Consider the following 26,977-nt stretch of genomic DNA (forward strand, 5'->3'; position numbering starts at 1 on the left):
CCCTGGGCCACAAGAGCCAGGCATCAGTTGATTATTGAGGTCTAGATAGGAAAAGGAAGTGCATGTATTATAACTGAAAGGGGCAATTTAACCTTCTGTACGACTTTTGTTTAGAATGGTTTGTCTGGCCAAAAATGTTTAAGACATTCCCATACATATAATTAAACAATAGTGCTTTCAATTTGGTATTTCTAGTTAGCAGTGGCAATAATTTGATTCAAGAAAGAATGATTATGAAATATTGGTGACTATGTGACTGGCCATGATTCGTGAAAGCCCATACCTCTAGTCTGCTGGTGACTTTAAGCATAAAAACAAAAACAACATCAACAGTAACATCAGCAGTGATTTTTTTTCAAAAAGCTACCATATGTTGAGTGCTCTTTATGTACAAAACACTATGCTAAGTGCTTTATTTTTATTTTTCCTATTAGAGAGTCATGCTTCATATGCTAAGTGCTTTACATAACATTATATTGATTCTTGATTCAGTAATCATGGGGATGATTATTCCCATTTTATAGATTAAGGAACTGAGGCTTAGAGAGGTTATATAACTTGTCTAAAACAACTGATCATCATGGAGACTGGATTCAAACTCAAATGTCTCTGATTTCCAAGCCCATGCTTCCAACCATTACATTTTACACTTTTTTTTTGAAACGGAGTCTGGCCCTGTTGCCTAGGCTGGAGTGCAATGGCACGATCTCAGCTCACTGCAACCTCCACCTCCCAGGTTCAAGCGACTCGCCTGCCCCAGCCTCCGTAGTACCTGGGATTACAGGCGCCTGCCACCATGCCTGGCTAATTTTTTGTAGTAGAGACGAGGTTTCACCATGTTGGACAGGCTGGTCTCAAACTCCTGACCTTGTGATCCACCCGCCTTGGTCTCCCCTAGGATTACAGGTGTGAGCCACCAAGCCTGGATGTACATTCTACACTTTTGAAGGTAGTGTTTGCATACATTTTTTTTTGAGACGGATTCTTGTTCTGTCGCCTAGGCTGGAGTGCAGGGGTACGATCTCAGCTCACTGCAACCTCCACCTCCCAGGTTCAAGCGATTCTCACACCTCAGCCTCCCAAATAGCTGGGATCATAGGCGTGTGCCACCAAGCCCAGCTAATTTTTTTTTTTTTTTTGTATTTTTAGTAGAGACAGGGTTTCGCCATGTTGGCCAGGCTGGTCTTGAACTCCTGACCTCAGGTGATCCACCCGCCTCAGCCTCCCAGAGTGCTAGGATTATAGGCGTGAGCCATCGTACCTGGCTTGTTTGTATAAATTTTAACTGAAACAGTATTCCATGAATTTATTATTATTATTATTTTTTCAGATGGAGTTTCGCTCTTGTTGTTCCAGGCTGGAGTGCAGTGGCACAATCTCTGCTCACTGCAACCTCCTTCTCCCAGGTTCAAGCAATTCTCCTGCCTCAGCCTCCCAAGTAGCTGGGATTACAGGCATGTGCCACCAAGCCCGGCTAATTTTTGTATTTTTAGTAGAGACGGGGTTTCACCATGTTGCCCAGGCTGGTCTCGTTCTGTTCTACTTTCCAGGCCCTTGGTAACCCAGTTTAACTCTGCTTCCCCTCGAATCAAGAAGGTTGCTCTCTGTTCCCTATATGCCCTAGCCTTCCTCTTTTACTCAGGTAACTCCTGCTTGGTGTAACATTTTTTTCCTGTCTCCTTTTTTTCCAGCAATCTAATTACTCTTTCTTTAAGACTCAGCTCATAGCACATGACCCACTTAAAGCCTTTGCTTGATCCTTGAGCATTCTGGTTGAAAAAAAAAATTAGAAAAAAAATAAAGCCTTTGCTGAGCCTGCAGCCTGCCTCAGTTAATTGGTGAACTGTTACGGAGTTTTGAGCTCATTTTGCTTTTTTTTCTCCTACTGCCTCAGAAAGCCACATGCCTTCAGCTTGAGGGCAGGGACTCTATCTTCCTTCCCTTTCTCATGAATAATAATGTACTGAGCACCTACTGTGTCTAGACACTGAGATTTAACAGTGTGAGTAAAAGCAATGGACTCTTACCTCGTGGTAAGAACTTCTTAGGCTCATGGGACCATATTTTTCTTCAATTAACAAATAAGCATTGAGCAGCTGGGCCAGGCACAGTGTAAGATATTAATTGGCTATGTATTATTCTTTGTATCACAAGTTTGTATCTTCACAGGAACTTGAAGATAATGGGTGAGGCAGCGAGTCAGGAATAAAATGTCTTAACAATTGCCCCTGGGTTTTCCTAGGAACTCCTTAAAAAAATTAATTTTTAAAAAATAGATGGAGTCTTGCTATGTTGCCCAGGCTGGCCTTGAATTCCTATAAGGTTGAGAAGGAAAGATAGCTTAGAGCAGTCTGAGCTCTGTGTGATGTATGCACAGTCTATTGGCTCAAAGACATGAGTATGGGACTTCAGTCATGCCTTCCACACCCACACTCTGGGGCAATGGTTTCTTTCTTTCTTTCTTTCCTTTCTTTCCTTCCCTTTCTTTTCTTTATTTCTTCCTGCCCCTCTCCCTCTCCCTTTCTTTCTTTCTCTTTCTCTCTTTTTCTTTCTTTCTTGACAGAGTTTCTCACTGCAACCTCTGCCTCCTGGGTTCAAGCGATTCTCCTGCCTCAGCTTCCCGAGTAGCTGAGATTATAGGCATGTGCCACCATGCCCGGCTAATTTTGTATTTTTAGTAGAGACAGGGTTTCTTCATGTTGGTCAGGCTGGTCTTGAACTCCCGACCTCAGGTGATCCGCCTGCCTCAGCCTCCCAAAGTGCTGGGATTACAGGCGTGAGCCACTGTGCCTGGCGGGTTTTTTTCTTTTAAAAATTTTTTATTTTTTGGCTGCACTGTGGGTGGTTCACACCTGTAATCCCCCAGCACTCTGGGAGACTGAGGGAGGAGGATCGCCTGAGGCCAGGAGTTCAAGACCAGCCCAGGCAACATAGAGATAACCTAACTCTAAAAAAATAATAATAATATTTTAAAAAGAAATCTTCAGGGCTTCCTAGGAAAACCTGGAGGCAATTGTTAAGACATTTTATCCTGACTGGCTACTTCACCCATTACCTTCAAGTTCCTGCGAACTTGAAGTGTAACCTGACATTGTTACATCTACATTGGAAGTATGTTAGGTCAACTGAGATACGAATTTGGGATACAAAGTACAATGTATAGCCAATCTATAACTTGTTATTTTAATGTAAATTCTTGGTAAACAAGTTAGGAACTGCCTCTTTTCCTTTAAAAACCTACTTCCAGGCCAAGCGCAGTGGCTCACACCTGTAATCCCAGCACTTTGGGAGGTCGAGGTGGGCAGATCACTTGACCTCTGTCGTTTTTTTTTTGGAGACTGATCACTCTGTCTCAAAAAAAAAAAAAAAACAAACCCAAAAAACAAACCCCCCGCCCCAAAAAAAACGTTTCATCGAGGTAGAGCAGCAGCTTTGTTTCTTTGCTTCACTGCTGTCTCCCTAGCACTTAGAACATAGTACGTGCTCAATAAATGAATGAGTGCCTGACTGAATGAATGAGGATACATAGATGAGATTCCTCCAATCTCACAGCCGGTTCAGAGTAGGCACTCAATGAGTGACTGACAGGATAGTTGCTGTTTTGAAAGCGCCCAAGTCCAGTAAGCCAATTGGAAGCTAAGCGTGGCGCTGGTATAGTAGGGGCAGGGGGCGTGCCTGACCCAAGGTTGGGTCCTGGAGCATGCGCAGTCTTCACAGAAGGTGACGGGGAGAAAAATGCGGAGGCAGCGATTGCGTAGGAGCAGGTTCTGATTGGCTACTGTTCGCGCGCGAGGGGCCGTGCCTATTCGTAGCCAAGTAAACAGGGCAGGTTAGAGGCGGGGCCAAGGAGGCGTCGCGACCTGGTTGGCCGGCCGGGGCCTGGGGGATGTCACGGATTGGTCGCGGCCGCGAGCGCAGTGGTGTGGAGCGCGCCGGGTCCCGGAGCCGGCTGTCTGAGGGATGGACGAGACGAGCCCACTAGTGTCCCCCGAGCGGGCCCAACCCCCGGACTACACCTTCCCGTCGGGCTCGGGCGCTCACTTTCCGCAGGTGCCCGGGGGCGCGGTCCGAGTGGCGGCGGCGGCCGGCTCGGGCCCCTCTCCGCCGGGCTCGCCGGGCCACGACCGCGAGCGGCAGCCACTGTTGGATCGGGCCCGGGGCGCGGCGGCCCAGGGCCAGACCCAAACCGTGGCGGCGCAGGCCCAGGCTCTGGCCGCTCAGGCCGCGGCGGCAGCCCACGCCGCTCAGGCCCACCGCGAGCGGAACGAGTTCCCGGAGGATCCTGAGTTCGAGGCGGTGGTGCGGCAGGCCGAGCTGGCCATCGAGCGCTGCATCTTTCCCGAGCGCATCTACCAGGGCTCCAGCGGAAGCTACTTCGTCAAGGACCCTCAGGGGGTGAGTGCGGGGGTGGGGACCGCCGCCGCGGGCTGAGGGCCGGCGGCGCTCCTGGGGAGTTGGGGGCTTCGCACAGCCAGAGGGAAAAGGGAGAAACTTCACAGTACCAGCCCCTGGCAGGATTTAGGGATGCCACTGAGGACTGGAGCTGGGGACGCTCTGCGGAATGGAGAAATAAATCAGAACCTACTTGGTGGGGGAGGAGTGAGCGGAAAATGAAAAGAGGAAATTGACCAGATACGGGCCGGGGGCTCAGCGGTGTGGTGGGGCAATCCGCCGCTGGACAGAGACTGCTTTCTAGTAGGGTACTTAGCTTCACACTACTGGGACAGCTATTCGGCCGCCGACTTGCAGATTTGGGGCTTTAGGCCTGTTCTCTCTTTTTGGACCGACCGAACCAGTGTGTCGCTGTTCACGGAGGAGGATGGGTGACCTATCAGGGGATCTGAGAATTCAGTTCCAGCCTTCTATGTTGTGGGGGATGTCCCCTGCCACCGTCCCAGCTCTTATTAACAGACGTTGAAGAAAGAATGGGCGGACTCACCAGTTTCATCTGCCCTGGGTATTGCTCACTTCTGGGAAAGGGTTCAAATACTTTTTGACGACTCCAAAGTTTAGATAGAACTTGGAGTTTTAGAAACATGGGGCCATCAGCTACTTTTTCTTTCATTTCTCTCCCAGGGCTATCAACAGCCTGCTTTTCAACTAAGGCAGAGCGTTTGCCGACCTTTATTTTGTCCCCTGCCTGTATATAAAGGGGGATGGTTATAGGATGGGGCATGGAGTGACCAGGGTATCTGAGAAGTGACCTTTATCCTTTTGAGAACTGCAGAATTTAAGAAATACCAAGTCTTCCCTGTTTTCAGGGAAGTTTCAGGGAAATTTTCAGGTGTGCTGCAATGGGTCATTGGAAAGATGTATTGTTATTTAAATTATGGGTGTCAAAGTTTCCTCAGATTTTCCCTGACATCTCTCCTGTGTGAACTCTTTAGATGGCCAGGGTGCTGTTTTAATAGGAGTCCTGAGTGGCCAGGACGGGCTGTTACTTGTAGCTCTTGGTTCGGCTCATTGAATGATCTAGTTATTCACTCAGAGTTTGAGTCGTCCCTGAATTAATCAAGAATTAGAGAACAATTCTGCCATGAACTCAGTTTCTCAGTTTACATAAACTGAGTTGGGGAAAGCTTTGCGAGTAATAAGTCTTTCGAAGTTTCTTTTTCTTTTTTTTTTTCTTTTTTTTTTGAGACAGAGTCTTGCTCTGTCGCCAGGCTGGAGTGCAGTGGCGCGATCTCAGCTCACTGCAGCCTCCGCCTCCCAGGTTCAAGCAATTATCCTGCCTCAGCCTCCTGAGTGGCTGGGACTACAGGCGTGCACCACCACACCCAGCTAATTTTTGTATTTTTAGTAGAGACCATGTTGGCCAGGATGGTCTCGATCTCTTGACCTTGTGATCTGCCCACCTCGGCCTCCCAAAGCGCTGGGATTACAGGCGTGCCACCGCGCCCGGCCTCCAAGTTTCTTAAATAAAAGAGCTTGCAAGCTCAAGTGGGAACCATCATTTCTAGAAGCAAAGAAATGTGAGTGCCCTGAGGTTTAAATGTCAGCCAGAGGCTTGCTTGCTTTCTCTTTCTTCCTTCCTTCCTTCCTTCCTTCCTTCCTTCCTTCCTTCCTTCCTTTCTTTCTTTCTTTTTCTTTCTTTCTTTCTTTCTTCCTTCCTTCCTTCCTTCCTTCCTTCCTTCCTTCCTTCCTTTCTTTCCTTTCTTTCTTTCTCTTTCTTTCTTTTTCTTTCTTTCTTTCATTCATTCTCTCTTTCTCGTCTTTCTTTCTTTCAGAGAAGGTCTCACTCTGACACCCAGGCTGGAGTGCAGTGGTGCAGTCTCACTGCTCACTGCAGCCTTGACATCCAGGGCTCAAGGTCCTCCCACTCAGCTTCCGAGTAGCTGGGACTACAGGCACGCACCACCACACCCGGCTAAAAATTATTTTTCATGGAGACAAGAGTCTCGCCATGTTGCCCTGGTTGGTCTCAGACTCCTGGCTTCAAGCAGTCATCCTCTTGCCTCAGCCTCCCAAAGTGCTGGGATTACAGGTGTGACCCACCATGCCTGTCCTTTTTTTGTGGGCAGAGGGTATTTTTAGTTTGTTGGCAAATGTAAGAAGGGGCTAAGATTATCTTTGATAGGTACAGGAGAAGGAGGAATATTTTTGTTTTTCTTTCATGACACTGTTAGAGCTGCATTGGAAGTGGGTTAGGTCAGCTGAGAAGTGAGCTGGTGCTTTGACAGATGGAAGTAATACGATCTCTTAATTCTACCTGGCAGGTAAAGTACTACCATCTCAGTACATAGGCCACAGAGAAGGACAGACCATAGGTATGTTACTTGGTGATTTAGGGATTCCAGTCTCTAAAATTTCCTGGCCACTATCCTTTCTCATAGGGGAAGTCCAAACACAGATGCCCTGACAAAACTTTTTGACGTACTCATACTGCTTCCAGTGAAGAAAATGTGATTTAGAACAAAGGGCACTTTCTAAATGCTTGCGGTGGGTTAGACTGGCCCACAGACTTACTGTAGTTGGAATTGTCATCTTTGGCTCTCCTCCAAATGTATTTACTTTATTAAACAAATACTTACATAGCATTTACTATATTCCTTTAAGTGCTTTACAAATAATAACTCACTTAATCTTTATAACCACCCTTGGAGGTAGGTACTGTTATTATCCCCGCAGGTGACAACACAAGCCCATGGTATAACAAATTTTTCCAAGGTCTCACACCTAGTAAGTGGTAGAGGCAGGATTGGGCCAAGGCGGGTTGGCTGTGGAGTTCATGTTCTCACCACTATCCTTTGCTCCCTCAGAGTCAGTCATCAGAATTTCCATATTCTGGACAGGTGCGGTGGCTCACGCCTGTACTCTCAGCACTTTGGGAGGCCGAGGCAGGCGCATCACTGGAGGTCAGGAGTTCGAGACCAGCCTGGTCAACATGGTGAAACCCCATCTCTACTAAAAATACAAAAATTAGCCGAGCACTGTGGCAGGCACTTGTAATCCCAGCTACTCGGGAGGCTGAAGCAGGAGAATTGCTTGAGCCTGGGAGGTGGAGGTTGCAGTGAGCCGAGATCGTACCACTGCACTCCAGCCTGGGCGACAGAGTGAGACTCCGTCTCAAAAACAAAACAAAAGAAAAGAATTTCTAAATTCTCTTCTCAGCTACTATATTGGTTAGTATTGAATTTGACTATATGTGACAGATATTTTAAAATAATGATGACTTGAAAAAAGGTTCATTTACACCTCATGTAAAAGAAGTCTATAGGCTAGCTGCTCAGGCATGCTCAGGGCTGGCATGACATTTCACTTTATTGGAGACATAGGGTTCTTCCTGCCAGCTGATCAGCCATCTTTAGGATATGGCTTCTACTACATGGTCCAAGATGGCCGCTCAAGCTGCAAACATCTTGTCTGCTTTTCAGCCATTTGGAAGAAGGAAAGGGAGAGGGTGAATATGCCCCCATCCTTTAAGGCACTTCGTAGAAGTTGTAGGAGACTCTTCTACTTACATTCCATTGTCTAAAACTTAGCTGTAGTAGTGGCTGGGAACTATAGTCTTTTTTCTTTTTTCGCCCAGGTAAAAATCATGGGTCTTGTGTCTAGGGAACAAGGGGGAACAGAGATTGGGAGAACCAGCACTTTCTGCGACAGCCACTTTTGGATCTTAGACAGTCTGAAAGATTCTTGAAGATAACAGCCCTGGTCCCATTTCTCAATTTTGGATGGTTTCTGTCTCAGTGGGGTCCAAGAACAGATGGAAAATGCTAGAAGTCATGGGGAGAGTATACACATACCCCCCTCACTTACCTCCTTGTGCTTCAGGTCTCATGCTCACTCAACTGCAAAAGGGTTTTTTGAGCTTTTTCTCTTTTGCGTGGAGTAATACTAGATTTTCACATTGCCAAGAATCATAGGACAGCATGTGACTCACTAGGTTAAGAGGATTAAATGACATATCACACATGAAAGCCCTGACGTAGTTCCTGGCACTTAGTTGGGGCAGCTCAATCAGATTTTTAAAAACATTCCTACTAACTGCTTAATTAGGGTTCTTGGGGTACATGGTATCGAATAAGGCTATAAGAGTTGGTAGATGGGGCGCAGTGGTTCACGCCTGTAATCCCAGCACTTTGGGAGGCTGAAGCGGGCGGATCACAAGGTCAGGAGATAGAGACCATCCTGGTTAACATGGTGAAACCCCATCTCTACTAGAAATACAAAAAATTAGCCGGGCGTGGTGGCGGGCACCTGTAGTCCCAGCTACTCGGGAGGCTGAGGTAGGAGAATGGCGTGAACCCGGGAGGCGGAGCTTGCAGTGAGCCAAGATCGTGCCACTGCTCTCCAGCCTGGGCGAGACAGCAAGACTCTATCTCAAAAAAAAAAAAAAAAAAAAGTTGGTAGATGATGCTTAAAATCTCGAGACCTACATGTATGACAAACTTGACTGCCTCTTAACGTTTTAGTAAAATAATTTTATTATATTTTATTATATATATATTTTTGAGACAGTTTCTCACCCTGTCGCCCAGGCTGGAGTGCAGTGGCACAACCTTGGCTCATTGCAGCCTTGGCCTCCCAGTGTTGGGATTACAGGTGTGAGCCACTGTGCCTGGATGGTTTTATATATTTCAACAAGCCCTTCCCTTCCTTTTGTAAGAATGAACTTGTAAATAAGGCTTCTCTACCTAAATAGCTAAATCAAGGACTACTATTTTCCTCCAACCTATACCATAGAATACAGCAGTTCTTAGAGTGTGGCCCAGGGATCTTGACCTCTGGGAGTTCCTTTTTGGGGTCCACAGGTCAAAATTATTTTCATCATAATTCTAAGACTTTATTTGCCTTTTTCATTCTCATTTACTTAGGAGTGGAGAGTGGAGATTTCCAGAGACTACATGATGTGTGATATTGAAACAGATTGAATACTAAGATATGAGATATAGCCTTTACCCACATTAACAAATGCTTTTTGGAGTCCTTAATAATTTTTTTTTTTTTTTTTGAGATGGAGCCTCACTCTGTCGCTCAGGCTAGATCAGGCATGATCTCGACTCACTGCAACCTCTGCCTCCTGGGTTCAAGCAATTCTCCTGCTTCAGCCTCCCAAGTAGCTGGGATTACAGGTGCGCCCACCACCATGCCCGGCTAATTTTCGTATTTTTAGTAGAGACAGGATTTCAGCATGTTGGCCAGGGTGGTCTCAAACTCCTGATCTCAGGTGATCCACCCGCTTTGGCCTCCCAAAGTACTGGGATTACAGGCATGAGCCACCACACCCAGCCTAATTTTTAAGAGTTTAAACTTTTTGAGACCAAAACGTTTGAGAACTATCCACTTAATGTTTATGAAACTTTAAAAGAAGACTTTTATAAAAGGTAATTTCTGTATATTTCACTGTGCGATGTGAATGATATGCTTGAACTGTCTTACATTTTAGGTTCTTGGAGAAAGGACCTCTTTTAGCATAGCATGACACCCTCCTCCTTGTCATTGCTGATTAGATATAGGAACCCCGCTGGGTTCCAGGTTCCAGTAATTTTTTGTTGTTGTTTGTTTTGAGAGGGGGGTCTAGCTCTGTTGCCCAGGCTGGAGTGCAGTGGTGTGATCTTGGCTCACTGCAACTTCCACCTCCTGGGTTCAAGCGATTCTCCCGCCTCAGCCTCCTGAGTAGCTGGTACTACAGGTGCATGCCACCATGCCCGGCTAATTTTTTCTATTTTTTTTTTTTGTAGAGATGGGGTTTCACCATGTTGGCCAGGCTGGTCTTGAACTCCTGACCTCAAATGATCCACCTGCCTTGGCCTCCCAAGTGCTGGGATTATAAGTGTGAGCCACTGCGCTGGGCTCAGGTTCCAGTAATTGGTTGTGGGTTCTGACACCAGCTGGTGCATGGCCTCTTGCTTTCTTGTGTGATTTGGTTTTTATTCCCAACTTCATGGACTGCTACTGCTTAAGCTATCTGTACCTCACCCCTCCTTTGTTAAAAGGGGAGATTAGTAAATGGGTGTTAAGAAAAGTTGTTTTTATAATATTGGCATCAAACTGAAGCTCTCTCCTAGATATAATAAAGGAATTGAAAATCTATTAAGAGAAAAAAAACACAAAATATTAAAGAAGAGAGTGGATGGTGAGGAAAAATTAGGCAGTAGTCATTTTCTTTTCCAGCTAAATACTGGTGGGTGTCTTTCCAATTTGAGTGGTTTTAGAGTTTGTTCTCCATGAATGAGAAGAGTATTCTTGATTATTCAGTAGCATAGTTGATTTTATGAAGTGAACATTGGAAATTAGGCCAGAGGGTATTTTACCTCTCTGTCTAGGAAAGCCACCAAATGCCTGCAGAATGCTTGCACATCGTTCTCCACAGGCTAGGTCCTGAGCAAATGCTAACATAATTGAATTGAACTGAGGCTTACACTTAGTCCTGAAAGGCACTTGTCTCCCCTTCTGTCTGAATGCCCTTTTGTTCCTCCATTCTTCATACTCTAACATTCCCTCATTGATCTAGTCCAGGCAGTATTCTTTAATAAAACCCCTGTACTATTGCATAACCATAATTACTCATGCTTTTGGAGTCATTGAAATGCTTCTTATTCTCCTTATGGTAGAAGGAAATCAAGATGTTTGAGAGGTCAGTCTTTAAATGACACTTGACTGCAATCTTGGCCTTCAAGTTCTGCTTGCTTTTTTTTTGTTGTTGTTGTTTAATTTTTCTTTTTTAGAGATGGGGTCTTGCTCTGTCACCCAGGCTACAGTGCAGTGGCATGCTTCTAGCTCACTGCAGCCTTGATCTCCTAGGCACAAGGGATTCTCCCCGCCGAGTAGCTGGGACTACAGGTGCATACCACCACACTTAGCTAATTTTTTTTTTTTTTTTTTTTGAGATGCTATTTCGCTCATTGCCCAGGCTGGAGTGCAATGGCATGATCTCGGCTCACTGCGACCTCCACCTCCCAGGTTCAAGCGATTCTCCTGCCTCGCCTCCCGAGTAGCTGGGACTACAGGCATGTGCCACCATGCCTGGCTAATTTTGTATTTTTAGTAGAGATGGGGTTTCTCCATGTTGGTCAGGCTGGTCTCGAACTCCTGACCTCAGGTGATCCACCCTCCTTGGCCTCCCAAAGTGCTGGGATTACAGGCATGATTCCCGGCTAATTTTTAAAAATTAGTGACAGAGTCTTGTGGTATTGCCCAAACTGGTCTCAAACTCCAGGCCTCAGGCAATCCTGCCTCATCCTCTGAAAGTGCTGGGCTTATAGGCATGAGCCACCATGCCCAACTTTTTCTGTCTTTAAGTAGAAGTATTTACCAGTTGACCTCAGCCCTGGTATTTTTCAGCCCCCAGTAGTAGTAGGAGTGTCTTGGCCTCCTTTTCATTGAGGACCAGCTTACTGAACTCCATAATGTGCCTCAGTTGAACTGACTGTTGCGTTCTGGGACATGCTTCAAGTTGCCTTTTGGTTTCCCTGTCCAGGGTCCGGAGGGTTACAGTGGACTCGTCAGTCATTCTCTGAGTTGTGAGCCTGTTGCTACTGCTGCTTTGTTATTCAGAGGCTGGGGTTCCAGGGGAGCAGAGACAGAGAAGACTGCTGAGGACTCTAGCTAGCTGCTTTGCATAAGAAAGTAATTCTGAAGACTTATGATGTGAATATATGCATTTTGCATTTGCCAGTAAATAAGTTAGTTTGTCTTTAAGAATAAATTGATTCTTTTTGGAGGGAGAAGGAGGAGTTCTGTATTTTTCTTGTCCTCTCAAATCCTTGGAAGGCATTTTTAAAGGAGCTGGCTTCAAGATCGACCAGTTATTGTTAGCGACATGGACCTAGCTAGTTCCTAATATGAGTACTGAGTTGGTAAAAGCAGATGGGTGTATGTTGTCTGCTGTGACCTGCCATTCAGGAAGTGACACCCACAGAAAAATATCTTATGACCCAGACTAGCTTGAGTAGGCTGTGGGGTGAGGGGACAAGGAGAGTCATATGATATGAGGATGAATCACTTGGATAGCATATTTGCTTTTTTCCTTTGAATTACCAGTTTGGGGACTGGAGGGAATTAGATGAATGTAAAACAACCTCAGAGGGCTGACTGGCCTGTTGAAGAAAACACTCAGGAGGGAGGGCCATAGTTTCTAGGCATCCCATATTTCCAAAGACCTTAGAAGATTAAGTTACTGTCTGCTATAGAAGATGGATTTAATCTGTGTGGCATCTCATGTCCTGGTTTCTTGCCTATCAGAATTACTTAAGAGAGCTTCATTCTAACCAAGTAGCAGAGTCTTTTTCCTGCTGTGATTTTTCTCTTTGGATAATAAGGCTGCGAGAGGAAATCTCTTCATCATTGATGAAGGAATTTCCTTAACCTCATTCCATAATAGATTTTTTTTTTTTTTTTTTTTTTTTTTTTTTTGAGGCAGAGGCTTGGTCTTGTCACCCAGGCTGGAGTGCAGTGGCGTGATCTCAGCTCACTGCAACCTCCGCCTCCTGAGTTCAAGTGATTCTCCTGCCTCAGCCTCCCGGGTAGCTGGGATTACAGGTGCATGCCACCATGCCCAGCTAATTTTTGTATTTTTAGTAGAGACAGGGTTTCACCATGTTGGCCAGGCTGGTCTCGAACTCTTGACCTCAGGTTATCTGCCCACCTTGGCCTCCCAAAGTGCTGGGATTACAAGCGTAAGCCACCATGCCCGGCCCATAATACCTTCTTTACTTCCTTCCAGTTGGTAAAGTTTTTAGTCTTTCTGTAATTGGTGCAGAACAACAGTGTGCATAATGTAACTTCGGAAATTAGAGTTTATGATGTTAAATTTCTGGCATACCACATACAGAAAGATCCCGTAGGATAAATAGGGCAGGGGTGCATGCAAAAAAAGAGAACATATAACCTGTGATAAGTTAATTCCTCATTTTTTTGGGGGAAAGATTACTTTAGAGCCCTCGATATGTGCATTAGGATATTGTATCTTTCTGGAGGGCAGGAAGCAGTACCATATTGGCATTAGATGCTGCCAGTGACTCACGATCTACCACTGAATTGGCTTCTGTACCTTTTTTTTTTTTTTTTGTGAGACAGGGTCTCGTTTGGTCGCCCAGGGTGAGGAATGCAGTGTGGGCAATCTAGGCTCACTGCAACCTCCGCCCCATGGGTTCAAGTGATTCTCATGCCTCAGCCTCTGAAGTAACTGGAATTACAGGTGTGCACCACCGCGCCCAGCTACTTTTTGTATTTTTAGTAGAGACAGGGTTTCGCCATGTTGGCCAGGCTGGTCTCAAACTCCTGGCCTCAAATTATCCACCCGCCTTGGCCTCCCAAAGTGCTGGGATTACAGGCATGAACCCTTGTACCTGGCCTGCTTCTGTGTCTTGCTCCTAGAAATGTAGCAATCCATTTACCTTGTTTGTTTGAAGCACAAAGTTAGAGGTAGGTACTTATATGAGGGAAAAGAGATGGAGAAGAGGGAAAAAGGAGCAAGGAAGAAAGAGAAGACTTAAGATGTTCTTTGGCCACAACCCTTTCTAGCAGTGGGTCTCTTAGCTGCACACACGAGCTGGTGTCTTCCCCTTACCAACTGGGAGAAACCTGAGTCCAACTGTAAGTAGGAATTGTCTGCCTATGCCCTGTCATTTCTTTCCAGATTCCTGCTGACTTGGTCTGTGGGCTATTTTGGTCAACTCGGATTTAACATCCTCTTTTTCTTTGGTCTCTGTAGAGGATCATTGCTGTCTTCAAACCCAAGAATGAAGAGCCCTATGGGCATCTTAATCCTAAGTGGACCAAGTGGCTGCAGAAGCTGTGCTGTCCTTGCTGCTTTGGCCGTGACTGCCTTGTCCTTAACCAGGGCTATCTCTCAGAAGCAGGGGCCAGCCTGGTGGACCAAAAACTGGAACTCAACATTGTTCCCCGTACAAAGGTCAGTGACCCATCTCCAGGAAGCCTTACTGCCTGGCCACAGTTTTCCTGGGGCCTAAGCCCTGCTACATGTTAGTGGGACCTTGGGTCCAGTGGGGTCATTTATACCCTAAGTCTGGGTTCTCGATCTTTTTTCGGGAGGATGGCAGGATTAGGCTTATGATTTGATCACCTGATGAAGGCTATCTTTTGAAGGATACACACACAATTTTTGCATACAATTTTAGGAAATTCACAAACTTCTACTGCATGTTTATGGCTCCCTTGGTCTTTGAATCCCAGCTAACCCCAAGCTAGTTAGAAACCTAGTGACTTTGTGGCTTACTCTCAGACTTCTGAGCCATCCCAGCATTTCGATACAGTCTAGGACTGGCTGATGACAGCTAAGAACTTCTGCAGGGTCTGACAAGGAAGACTTTAGGACAGGCTGAGGGTTAGAACAATGGTCTGGCCTGAACCCTACAGGGAACTGACATGGAATATTTCTAACTTATCTTTATGCTGTCGAATTTTGGGACTTGTCTGAACACATCAAAATAGGGGTGCCAGATCTAGGCAAACTCACACTCAGAATGGATTCATACACATCTTGTATGTGTTATAGACATAGTTGAGGTCTCCCCCAACCCCCACCCCCACCAATATGCTTGAATACAGAATTGATTGCATACAATTTGAGGGAGTTTACTGACACCAGGCTAAGAACCCCTGCACTACAAGGTATTCCATGAAACTCACCAAAGGTTATGAGGGGAAGGAATCTACTGGTCAGCATATGAACATGTCCGGACACATCATTCACTGAGTACGTGGCTACCTGGGGTTTAGTAACAACTTAGGTGGGACTCTCATCTGATGCCCTGAGGCTGCTGAGTCATCTAAACAATCCTGGCTCCGTGCTTAGTCTTAACTAGTCTATGCTAGTTTATTTAGTTATTTACTAAATAACTAAAACTAAATTTATTTAGTTATTTAGTAAATAACTCTTTGAGAATCTGATGAAACCTATAGACCCCCTTTCCAGAAAAAGTACATATATTTGCAATTATTGTTTTGTGTATAATTTTAGGGCAATGGTTCATAAACGTTGCAGTCTATCTGTTGACACCCCAGGGAGCATGTCTCTAGATTAAAATCCCTCTGCTTAAAGTTTTCTTTTCTTTCTTATTTTTAGAGACAGGGTCTTGCTCTGTTGCCCAGGCTGGGGTGCAGTGGCATGATCACAACTCACTGCAGCCTTGACCTCCCAGGCTCAAGCAGTCCTCCCACCTCAGCCTCTCAGGTTGGGACTACGGGCATGTGCCACCATGCCTGGCTAATTTTTTTTTTTTTTAATTTTTTGTAGAGACAAGGTCTCCCTGTTTTGCCCAGGCTGGTCTTGAACTCCTGGGCTCAAGCTATCCTCCTGCCTTGGCCTCCCAAAGTGCTGGGATTACAAGTGTGAGCCACCACACCCAGCCTTAAAGATGTCTTCTCAGGTTTAGATAGCAGATTCTATGAGCAAAGAGATTGATCAGCAGTAGAAACTTCCCTTCCGTTTGAGAGGAAAATGTGACTATTGTGGATATTTAACCATGTCTGCTCCTTTGCTACTAAACTCCAAACAATTAGCCAACTAGTTTGTAAGTTATAGAAGTCAGAGACCACTTCTCAAGATTTCCTCTCTCATTCTCAGCACCTAGCAAAATACTATATTTATAGTAAGCATTCATGAAGTACCAGCTGAGTCAGTAAATGAATATGAAATCATGAGAAACAATACCAAAGTTCTTCCAACTTTAGGTCTAGCGAGAAAATGTTTGACCAGGCTTCTAGTTCCCATTTCACATCTAATTCACTGCCTGGCTTTGTACAGCTCATTCCTTCTCTTTATGCCTTACTTTTCCCTCTCTGTGCAGATAGTTTTACAGCATGCTTTGAACATCTTGTATGATAATTAATGTTCTTAAGTCTCCTAACCTGAAATGCTTCTACTAGGCTCCTCTTAGACTCTAGAAACTTTTACATTCTCCTTGCTTATCACTCTATAGTTTTCTTCCTTTACTAGGCAAATAGCAGACCGTGTCTGGCTCTATGCCTACCTGCTCTGTTGGTGCTTCTGGAGTGTGGTGCCCAAGAATCAGAGGACTTGAGTTTGAATTCTTGCTCTGCAGTTTTTGATTTGTGTAACACTTGGGCAAGTCATGTAACCTCCCTAGGCTCAGTTTCCTTACTGTAAAAATAGGGATATAAATAGTTCCTACTTTGTAGAGTGGCCATCAATATTACACAAGACAGCCTATATGAAGCACATAGCTGAGTGAGTGCCAGGCACAACGTAAACCCTCCATATGTTAGCCTGTGATATTTTTATCAGCTATTCTAATCGTTAGTGTCACCCCCACAATCCCTTTCGTCCCTATCTTTGGTCTTCCTCTTTCCCTGTTAGAGAACCTTCACGAGGCCTGAGGATCTTTTGCATCAGAAAGTCAGCAACAACAAAAATACTTGTCTTGGCTGGGCTCATTGGCTCACGCCTGTAATCCCAGCACTTTGGGAGGCCTAAGTGGGTGGATCACCTCAGGTCAGGAGTTCGAGACCAGCCTGGCCAACAGGGTGAAACCCTGTCTCTACTAAAAATACAAAACTTAGCTGAGCATGGTGGTGCGTGCCTGTAATCCCAGCTACTTGGGAGGCTGAGGCAGGAGAATCGCTTGAACCTGGAAGGCAGAGGTTGCAGTGAGCTGAGATTGTGCCACCACACTCTATCCTGGGCAACAGAGCGAGACTCCGTCTCAAAAAAAAAAAATACTTGTCTTCCATGAGACTGAGATGAGACAGAACTTTGGAAGCTTAACATATAGCTGCTGGAGAATAGTAAGAGGACTCCTCTCCCTGTCTCCCCAACTCTTGTGACAGGACTCTATCCAGTTGATCAGAGCATCTGTCATTATAGAAACAAGGTTCACATTGCATTGGAACTTCAAATGGTAAGGCTCTAATTCTCACTCACTGGCTGTCTCTGCTCTCTGCTCCTATGAGGTTTCAGGTTATGATAGTTTCATTAGTCATGGGGAAAAAGTGGTTTGTTAGGAAGAATGATAGAAAATAAATATGATGGGGGCAAAAGGGGATTTATGGCTTGAGAGAGCCAGGAGTTTCACTGTGGACACTGGCAAGGTAGCCTTAGGAAAGCTCTTTTTCCTTCATTCCTATGCCTGAGTTTTCTGATTTGTAAGGCAGGGAGTGCCTACTACAGTACCATGCACATCCATTTTAGGTAGTCTATTAATACTAGATGGTAGCATGGAGCGATAGATGAGAGGCAGTTATTTTGCCTCTCAGGTTCATGGGAAAAAAAATAGTTATTTGTAATAAATTTTACAAGGCTTAGGAAAATACCTTTCTTATAAGTTTGATTTTAGGTATTTATATGCTAAAACTCACTTGTTGCTGTCTCTGAAAGAAGCTTGTAACTCATTCTTCATTCACTTAATAAATATTTAATGAGCATATGCCAGCTACTGTGTTAGGTGCTGTGGATGCTAATATAAATAAGATGTTCTCCGCTTCCTCAAATCTCATTCATTTTAAAGGAGGAGTTAGATATACAAATGGATAATTACAAGACAATGTGATAAGTGTGACAATAGATGCATATGTGGATTACAATTACGTCACTGCAATTTGACTTAAGTATAATATTGATGGCTCATAAAAATTTTTTTTAGAATAAGTAATGCATGCATCTAGTATAAAAATCAGAAGGCACATAGGGTAAACAGAGAAAAGTAATTCAGACTCCCTGCTACCCCTATCTCCTGGCCATTCAGTTTCCTTCCTCAGAGGCAGCCAGGATTACAGTGTATAGCCTATACATAAAAATAGCAGTTAATTAAAATGAAAACCAATTTTAATGTTTGTGTTTTGAATACGAATAATTTCACAAAGTAAAAAAATTCAAAAGGGCCCGGGCACAGTGGCTCATGCCTGTAATCCCAGCACTTTGGGAGGCCGAGGTAGGAGGATCACCTGAGGTCAGGAGATCAAGACCAGCCTGGCCAACATGGTGAAACCCTCTCTCTACTAAAAATACAAAAATTAGCCAGGAGTGGTGGCACACACCTGTAATCCCAGCTACTTGGGAGGCTGAGGCATGAGAATTGCTTGAATGCGGGACTTGGAGGTTGCAGTGAGCCGAGACTGTGCCACTGCACTCCAGCCTGGGCAACAGAGTGAGACTCTGTCTCAAAAAAAAAAAAAAAAAAAAATTTTTTTTCAAAAGGAAATGAAGGGGTACAGAGTAAATTGCAACTTGTTTGTCTCTGGAAAGAAGATGGGCATTTGGCCTAATCTAACCCAGGAGATGACAGTGTTAATCCTTGTACTTCATACTAGCTGCTGTAACAACCCTTAAATCTAAGTGGTTTAATACAATTGGATTGTATTTCTTTTTTATCATATTTTTTTTGGGACAGAGTCTCCCTCTGTCACCCAGGATAGAATGTGCAGTGGTGCGATCTTGGCTCACTGCAACCTCTGCCTCCAAGGTTCAAGCCATCCTCCCACCTCAGCCTCCGAAGTATCTAGGATTACAGACGTGCACCACCATGCCTGGCTAATTTTTGTATTTTTAGTAGAGACGGGGTTTAACCATGTTGGCCAGGCTGGTCTCGAACTCCTGACCTCAAGTGATCTGCCCACCTCGGCCTCTCAGAGTGCTGGGTTTACAGGTGTGAGCCACCACGCCTGGCCAGGAGTGTATTTCTTGATTACATCTCAGACTCATGCCAGATAGGCAGCTCTCCTAGATACCACATCACTCATGTAGTTACAAGGTATCCGAGGTTCTTCCATGGTGTGGCTCTGCTATTTCCCAGCCCTTCTTTCCTAGCTGCACAGACTGGAGAATGTGAATTAAGGATTGTGGGAGATTTTAGTTGCCAGCAGTGGAAGTGTTGTACATACATAATTTTGTCATTATTTCATTGGCCCAAACTAGTTATCTTCCCTCTCCTAGTTGCTGGGAAGGCTGAGAAATGTATTCTTTCTGTGCCCTGGAAGAGGAATAGGATTTGTGAACATCAAGCTATTTATTCTCTGCCATAGTCTTCTGGTTCCTTAAACTTGACTCTAACCTTAGTATCTCTTCTCTTTCACTGTAGGTAGTATACCTGGCCAGTGAGACCTTCAACTATAGTGCCATTGACCGAGTGAAGTCCAGGGGCAAGCGGCTTGCACTAGAGAAAGTGCCAAAAGTTGGACAGCGGTTTAACCGCATCGGGCTACCACCAAAGGTATAGACGCACCTCTGGCTTATCAAGGGTCATGATTTATAGTGACATAGTCATCCAAGTGGTGAAGCAAGGTGCCTACAACTCAAATATGGGCACGTGAATAACCTGCCCTGAGGATCCTGTCTTCCTTATTTCTGTCAAGTGGCTAAGGTTTGAAAAGTTGAGACCTAACTTTTCACTTTACTCCTCTGGTTCATTTGGATAGGTTCTTTAATTTGGATGGATGATCACTGTTACATCTCTTTTCTCCTGTACTTGCAAGAAATGAGGAAGTAAAGATCTTGAAAAGTTTTCCTTCTCTGATACAAACTCCATAGGGCCTTAATGGGTATCTGGCATATACTCCAAAGGTCTTTGGATTTGGGCAGTAGGGAAAAACCTTTGTTCCTTCCTCTTGGTTCCAGGTTGGTTCATTCCAGCTCTTTGTTGAAGGCTACAAAGATGCAGACTATTGGCTGCGGCGTTTTGAAGCAGAACCTCTTCCTGAGAACACTAACCGGCAACTACTGCTCCAGTTTGAGCGGTTGGTGGTGCTGGATTACATCATCCGCAACACTGGTGAGCAGCTGCAGGTGGTCCCATGCCCTGTGCCAGACTGTGTTGAGGCATGGGGAGGCCTGGAGGCTTGCAGGGCTTGGGAGTCAGAGTACCTTGTCCAGACACATCATGTGTAGTTTTCAGAAGTGGTGAGGCCTGGAGTTAGTATTTGCATTTTATCTTACACTCTTTCCTGGTTCCAGACAGAAGACACTTAACTCTTCCAAAGCACTGTGAAGAGTACTCTTATCCTTGATCCCTAGTCATTCTTGTAGCCTCAAGACCTGTAACAGGACAGTTTTGTCTTCCTCTGACTTCTTGAGGTAGATGTTTAGATCATTGATATTTAAAAAAAATTTTTTTTCAGTGCAATTTAAATTCAACTAACCTGGTAAAATGTACATGTATTGAGGACAAAAGTCTTTAAATTCAGGCTGGATGTGGTGGCTCATGCGTGTACTCCCAGCACTTTGGGAGGCCAAGGTGGACAGATCATTTGAGGCCGGGAGTTCCAGACCAGCCTGGACAACATGGTGAAACCCTGTCTCTACTAAAAATACAAAAATTAGCCGGGTGTGGTGGCGGGCACCTGTAGTCCCAGCTATTCAGGAGGCTGAGGTGGGAGAATCGCTTGAACCTGGGAGGCGGAGGTTGCAGTGAGTCAGAATTGCACCACTGCACTCTAACCTGGGTGACAGAGCAAGACTCTGTTTCCAAAAAAAAAAAAAAGTCTCTAAAGTCACCTTATTGGAGCTATATTTTGTCCGATATTTTAATCATAGTAAAATGCATGTAACATAAAATTTATTATCTTAACCATTTTAAAGTAGTATGAAATACATTCATATTGTTGTGCAACTGTCACCACCATCCATCTCCAGAGCTCTTTTTGTTGTTGTTGAGACCGAGTCTTGCTCTGTCACCTAGGCTGGAGTGCAATGGTGCGATCTCAGCTCACTGCAACCCCTGCCTCCTGGGTTCAAGTGATTTTCTCACCTCAGCCTTCTGAGTAGCTGGGATTACAGACACCCGCCATCATGCATGGCTAATTTTTGTGTTTTTATAGAGATGGGGTTTCACCATGTTGGCCAGGCTGGTCTTGAACTGACCTCAGGTGATCCACCCATCTCAGTGTCCCAAAGTGCTGGGATTACAGGTGTGAGCCACCATGCCTGGCCTCCAGAACTCTTTTCATCTTGTAAAACTGAAGCTCTATACTCATTAAACAGTAACTCTTCATTCCCCCTCCCTACGTCCCTGGCAACAATCATTCTGTTTTCTGTTTCTATGATTTTGACTACTCTAAGTACCTCATGTAAGTGGAATAGTACAGTATTTGTCTTTTGGTGATTCGCTTATTCACTTAGCATAACGTTCTCAAGGTACATCTATGATGTAGTATATATCAGAATTTCCTTCCTTTTTAAGGATAAATACTGATCCATTTTATGTATATACCACATTTTGTCTATCCATTTATCTTTCAGTGAACACTTGGGTTGCTTCTGCATTTTAGCTATTACGAACAATGCTACTATGAACATGGGTGTACAAATATCTCTTCAAGACCCTGCTTTCAGTTTTTTTGAGTATATATCCAGAAGTGGAATTATTGGATCATATATGGTAATTCTATTTTTAATTTTTTGAGGAACCACCATACTGTTTTCCACAGCAGCTGTGCCATTTTACATTCCCACCAACAGCACACGAGGGTTCCTTCCAATTTCTCACCAGCACTTACTGTTTTCTGTTTTTTCCTTTTCATATTTAATCTGCATTCTGCTGAATGTTTTCTGTTGTTTTGATAGTAACCATCCTAATGGGTGTAAGATGTTATCTTATAGTTTTGATTTGCATTTCCTTAATGATTAGTGATGGTAAGCATCTTCTTATGTGCTGATTGGCCAATCATATATCTTCTTTGGAGCTGTCTATTTAAGTCCTTTGCCTATTTTTGAATTTTTTTTGGTCATTATTGTTGAGTTCTCTATACATTTGTTTAAAGTTCTCTGTATATCTGGCTATTAATCCCGTATCAGATATATAATTTGCAAATATTTTCTCTCAATCTCTTGCCTTTAGTTTTATTTTTTAAAGAGACAGAGTTATGCTCTATTGTCCAGGCTGAAGTGCAGTAGCACAATCATAGCTCACTACAGCCTCGGACTCCTGGGCTCAAGTGATCTTCCTACCTCTGCCACCCGAGTAGCTGGGACTACAGGTGTGAGGACCACGCCTGGCTAGTTTTTAAATTCTTTGTAGAGATGAGGTCTCACTGCGTTGCCCAGACTGGTCTCGAATTCCTGGGCTCAAGCAGTCCTCCTACCTCAGCCTCTCAAAGTGCTGGGATTACAGGTGTGAACAACTGCGCCTGGCTTGCAACTGATTTTTTTGTGGATTGACTTTGTATGCTGCTACTTTCCTGAATTATTAGTTCTAGTAGTTATTTTTTTGTGTGGAAATTTTAGGGTTATGCACCTACACAATCATATCTATGAACAGACATAATTTTCCCTCTTTTTTTTTTTCCAATTTGGGTGCTTTTTATTTCTTTTTTCTTGCTTCAGTGCTCTAAGACTTCCAGTACTATGTTGAATAGAAGTAAAAGCAGGCATCTTTTCACTGTTCTTGATTTTAGAGGAAAACCTTGCAATCTTTCACCATTATGATGTTAGGGTCCTTTTTGCCCACCTTGGCACCCTCAAGCTATTTGCAAGCTGCTCCTGGAACTTGTGCACATCTGGCTGCCATGTGGCTGAAGGGTGGGGGATGGGTAGCTGCTTGTGGGGCTAAGAGCCAAAATTGAATGAAATTAACCACAATTTACTGTCCAGGCTTTCCCCTGCAAGTTGCAGGCCCTCCATAGACTCCAGAGCTCCAAAATAATTACATCAGACAGATTTTTGCCACTACAATTGTTGTCCACGTGGGGAGACAGATTTCTGTTGTTTCCTACTCCACCATCTTCCCAGAATCCTCTCTCTTAGAGTATTGATTTTTACCTTTTCTCCTTTCCCTTCCTTTTCTTTTCTTTTTCTTTCTTTTCTTTTTTTTTTTTTTTTTGAGACGGAGTCTCGCTCTGTCACCCAGGCTGGAGTGCAGTGGCGCGATCTCGGCTCACTGCAACCTCCGCCTCCCGGGTTCACGCCATTCTCCTGCCTCAGCCTCCCGAGTAGCTGGGACTACAGGCGCCTGCTACCACGCCCGGCTAATTTTTTGTATTTTTAGTAGAGATGGGGTTTCACCGTGTTAGCCAGGATGGTCTCGATCTCCTGACCTCGTGATCTGCCCGCCTTGGCCTCCCAAAGTGCTGGGATTACAGGCGTGAGCCACCGCGCCCGGCCTTTTTTTTTTTTTGAGACGGAGTCTCACTCTGTCGCCCAGGCTGGATTGCAGTGGCATGATCTTGGCTCACTGCAACCTCCACTTCCCAGGTTCAAGTGATTCTCCTGCCTCAGCCTCCCGAGTAGCTGGGACTACAGGTGCATGCCACCACACCCGGCTAATTTTTGTATTTTTAGTAGAGACAGGGTTTCACCATATTGGTCAGGCTGGTCTTGAACTCCTGACCTCGTGATCTGCCTGCCTTGGCCTCCCAAAGTGCTGGGATTACAGGTGTGAGCCATCGAGCCCGGGCTCTTCTTTTCTAATATATGCACTTCAGACTTTAATTTCATCTTAAGCATAGTTTAGTTGTATCTTACAAGTGTTTTTTTTTTTTACCATAATCATTATAAAATATACTGAAATTTTTTTTATCCTCTCAGTTTATAGATGGAGACTGTATTTTCTAATTTCCATTGTTCATTTCTTCTCTGACCCATAGTTTACTTAAAATAGTTTTTTAGCTGGTTAGTAGGAAAATTTCAAAATACACAAAAGTAGAGAGACTGGTATAATAAACCCCATGTACTTGTTACCACCTTCAACAGTTATTATGTAAGGTCTCACTTCCTGCTACCCCCATCCCTGCTGGATTTTTTTTTTTTTCAACTAAGGCTTTGACTGGAACTGCTGGATTTTTTAAAATTTATTTTTATTTTATATTTTTTGGAGACGGAGTCTCACTCTGTTGCCCAGGCTGGAGTGCAGTGGCCCAATCTCGGTTCACTGCAAGCTCCGCCTCCCGGGTTCACACCATTCTCCTGCCTCAGCCTCCCGAGTAGCTGGGACTACAGGCGCCCGCCACCACACCCGGCTAATTTTTTGTATTTTTAGTAGAGACGGGGTTTCACCGTGTTAGCCAGGATGGTCTCGATCTCCTGACCTCGTGATCCGCCCACCTCGGCCTCCCAAAGTGCTGGGATTACAGGAGTGAGCCACCGCGCCCGGCCACTGCTGGATTATTTTAAAGCAAATCTGAGACATCATTTTATAGCATCCATAGATACCTCCATATGTTCTTGAAGAGATAAAGACTTTTTTTTTTTTTTCAGTATAATCAGTATTTAATGTCCCATCAGTGTTTGGATTACCCCAGTTGTTTCATAAAAAAAGATTTTTATAATTGGCTTGTTGAAATTATGATATAAAGGTCCACATATTACATTTGGTTAATATCTTTCCTTTCTGTTTTTTTTTTGGAGATGGGATCTCACTATGTTGCCCAGGCTGGTCTTAAACTCCTGGGCTCAAGCAGTCCTCCCACCTCAGCCTCCCAAAATGCTGAGATTACAGGCATGAGCCACTGTGACTGGCCAGGTTAATATGTTTCTTAAATGTCTTCAATTTAGGGAAAGTTTCACATCTTTTTTTTTCCCTTGCCTTTTATTTGTTGAAGAAACTGGATATTTGCCCTATAGAAGTTCCACATTGTGGATTTGGCATCCCCAATTCTCTGTGTTTCCTGTAAATTTACTGCTTGAGTTTAAAGGCTTGATCAAATTCAGGTTTGATTTTTTTTTTTTTTTTTTTGAGGCAGGGTCTCACTCTGTTGCCCATGCTAGAGTACAGTGGTATGATCATAGCTCATTGCAGCAGCCTCCAACACTTGGCTCAAGCTGTCCTGCCTCAGCCTCCCAAGTAGTTGGGACTATAGGCACGTACCACCACACCTGGCTAATCTTATTTACAATTTGTTTAGACATGGGGTCTCGCTATTTTGCCCAGGCTGGTCTTGAACTCCTGGCCTCAAGTGATTCTCTGCCTCCTCAGCCTCCCAAAATGCTGGGATTTCAGGTACAGCCTCTGCTGATATTCTTAATCTTGACTTTTATCTTTTTAAACATATTAAGGATTTTGTTGTGAACATTTTAAAGTCTGTATATTTTTATTGTTTGGAGCCCCTACAGATCTGTTTTAATTTTCAGTTGTTTCTCTTTTATTCCTGTCATCTTGTTTCTTTGTGTACCTGGTTGTTTTTCATTGTCAAATACTGCCTATCAGAAATCGTAGAGCTGTATAAAGGCCTAAGATGTCATTGTAAATCCTGTCTGGAGGAAGATTTCTTTTGGCAAGCATCTAGGGCAATAGCAATCCAGTATCACTTTAATTTCAGGTGTTGAGGGGAGCTTAGTGTATTTCCAAGGTGTAGTGCTTCAGGTCGTAACCCAAAGCATAGATGATATACGAGGGTCCCTTACCCCTGATCAGTCACTGGATTATAGTTTTTGTCTCTCTAGCTCCACAAGGCTCTTATAATTGTTCTACCTCTCAAGCTCTTAGCCAGCTCTTTCCAAATTGGCAGGTGCTCTAGGGGAAAAGAAGCCACAGTGCTGGGCTCCACGTCCTCCCATGGATTTCCTTTCTCTCCCATATCTTCACTCTTAAATCCTTTGTGGTCTTATTAAAATCTCCAGTACCTTAAAAAAGATCTAAAAATATTTTATCCAGCATTTGTAGTCATTCTCAGTAGAAGCGTTAGTCCGAGTGTCCAGAATACCTAGTCCACCATTACAAAAATGGAAAATCATCCCCCCTTTTTCTGCTAACTTTATATTTCTGTTCACAGATCGAGGCAATGACAACTGGCTGATTAAATATGACTGTCCAATGGATAGTTCTAGCTCTCGGGTAAGAGACTGAGATAAATCTTAAAGAGAATGAAGAGTATTTGCATAATATAGAAACACATAAAATGGTCAGAGATGTAGTTCATACAAGTTCAGAAGAATCGGGGGGCGCATATGTTTAAAATTAATAGGTTAATATTTGGTAAAGTTTTTCTCAATATGTGTTTCAAGGACATCCTACTGACACATGTTAATAGGAATAGCATGAAGAAAGGGTCAAGTAAATTTGGAACATATTATGTACTCTGTTCTTTGAGCTTCTTATTGCACAGTAGCATAGTAAAGGTCTGAGAAGTACTACGTTAAACAAACCTATTTAAATTTGATTTCTACCCCTTTTAAACCATGAACCACTTTTCTCACAACAGACCGCAAGTCCACAGAACATAAGTTTAGAAAAAGCTGCTCCTGCAACTTTCTTTCCTTTCTCATTCCTTTCATCCTCCACCATACTTCTCTATCACTGTTCAGTCTACATGTTTTACAAAATTAGCAGAAGGCTGCCTAGGGGAGAGTGAGATTGGTTTTATTTCTTTTTTCTTTTCTTTCTTTTTTTTTTTTTTAAGAAACAGGGTTGGCCGGGCATGGTGACTCACGCCTGTAATCCCAGCACTTTGGGAGGCCGAGGTGGGAGGATCACCTGAGGTCAGGAGTTCCAGCCTGGCCGACATGGTGAAACCCCGTCTCTATTAAAATGCAAAAATTAGCCGGGCATGATGGCGGGAGCTTGTATTCCTAGCTACTCGGGAGGCTGAGACTCGAGAATGGCTTGAACCTGGGAGGCTGAGGTTG

At 44.2% G+C, this 26,977-nt stretch overlaps 1 protein-coding gene across 1 annotated transcript in view, besides 5 other annotated features; it reads left to right on the forward strand.

Annotated features, from left to right (window-relative positions):
* Nucleotides 2,631-2,814: a silencer, noted in NCBI's record as "fragment chr10:99399170-99399353 (GRCh37/hg19 assembly coordinates)". NCBI's record gives its function as "represses an EF-1alpha promoter that drives an FKBP-Casp9 reporter gene in an ReSE screen in K562 erythroleukemia cells {active_cell/tissue: K562}" and the evidence as "EXISTENCE:reporter gene assay evidence [ECO:0000049][PMID:32094911]".
* Nucleotides 3,889-26,977, forward strand: part of PI4K2A (phosphatidylinositol 4-kinase type 2 alpha) — a 35,764-nt gene continuing 12,675 nt past the window's right edge. The window contains exons 1-5 of the mRNA NM_018425.4: nucleotides 3,889-4,395; nucleotides 14,159-14,359; nucleotides 19,503-19,634; nucleotides 20,039-20,192; nucleotides 26,125-26,186. Of these exons, the coding sequence (NP_060895.1) occupies nucleotides 3,961-4,395; nucleotides 14,159-14,359; nucleotides 19,503-19,634; nucleotides 20,039-20,192; nucleotides 26,125-26,186 (984 nt within the window). The 5' untranslated portion in view covers nucleotides 3,889-3,960. The remainder of the gene's footprint in view (nucleotides 4,396-14,158; nucleotides 14,360-19,502; nucleotides 19,635-20,038; nucleotides 20,193-26,124; nucleotides 26,187-26,977) is intronic.
* Nucleotides 3,979-4,208: a silencer, noted in NCBI's record as "silent region_2683". NCBI's record gives its function as "represses an Ori minimal core promoter by ATAC-STARR-seq in GM12878 lymphoblastoid cells {active_cell/tissue: GM12878}" and the evidence as "EXISTENCE:reporter gene assay evidence [ECO:0000049][PMID:35858748]".
* Nucleotides 12,088-12,137: an enhancer, noted in NCBI's record as "active region_3855". NCBI's record gives its function as "activates an Ori minimal core promoter by ATAC-STARR-seq in GM12878 lymphoblastoid cells {active_cell/tissue: GM12878}" and the evidence as "EXISTENCE:reporter gene assay evidence [ECO:0000049][PMID:35858748]".
* Nucleotides 12,188-12,247: an enhancer, noted in NCBI's record as "active region_3856". NCBI's record gives its function as "activates an Ori minimal core promoter by ATAC-STARR-seq in GM12878 lymphoblastoid cells {active_cell/tissue: GM12878}" and the evidence as "EXISTENCE:reporter gene assay evidence [ECO:0000049][PMID:35858748]".
* Nucleotides 14,564-15,763: an enhancer, noted in NCBI's record as "MED14-independent group 3 enhancer chr10:99411103-99412302 (GRCh37/hg19 assembly coordinates)". NCBI's record gives its function as "activates an origin of replication core promoter dependent on BRD2, BRD4, P300/CBP and CDK7 cofactors, and independent of MED14, by STARR-seq in HCT116 cells {active_cell/tissue: HCT116}" and the evidence as "EXISTENCE:reporter gene assay evidence [ECO:0000049][PMID:35650434]".

The sequence above is a fragment of the Homo sapiens genome, chromosome 10, assembly GCF_000001405.40.
Source record: "Homo sapiens chromosome 10, GRCh38.p14 Primary Assembly".
In the NCBI taxonomy this organism is placed as follows: Eukaryota; Metazoa; Chordata; class Mammalia; order Primates; family Hominidae; genus Homo; species Homo sapiens.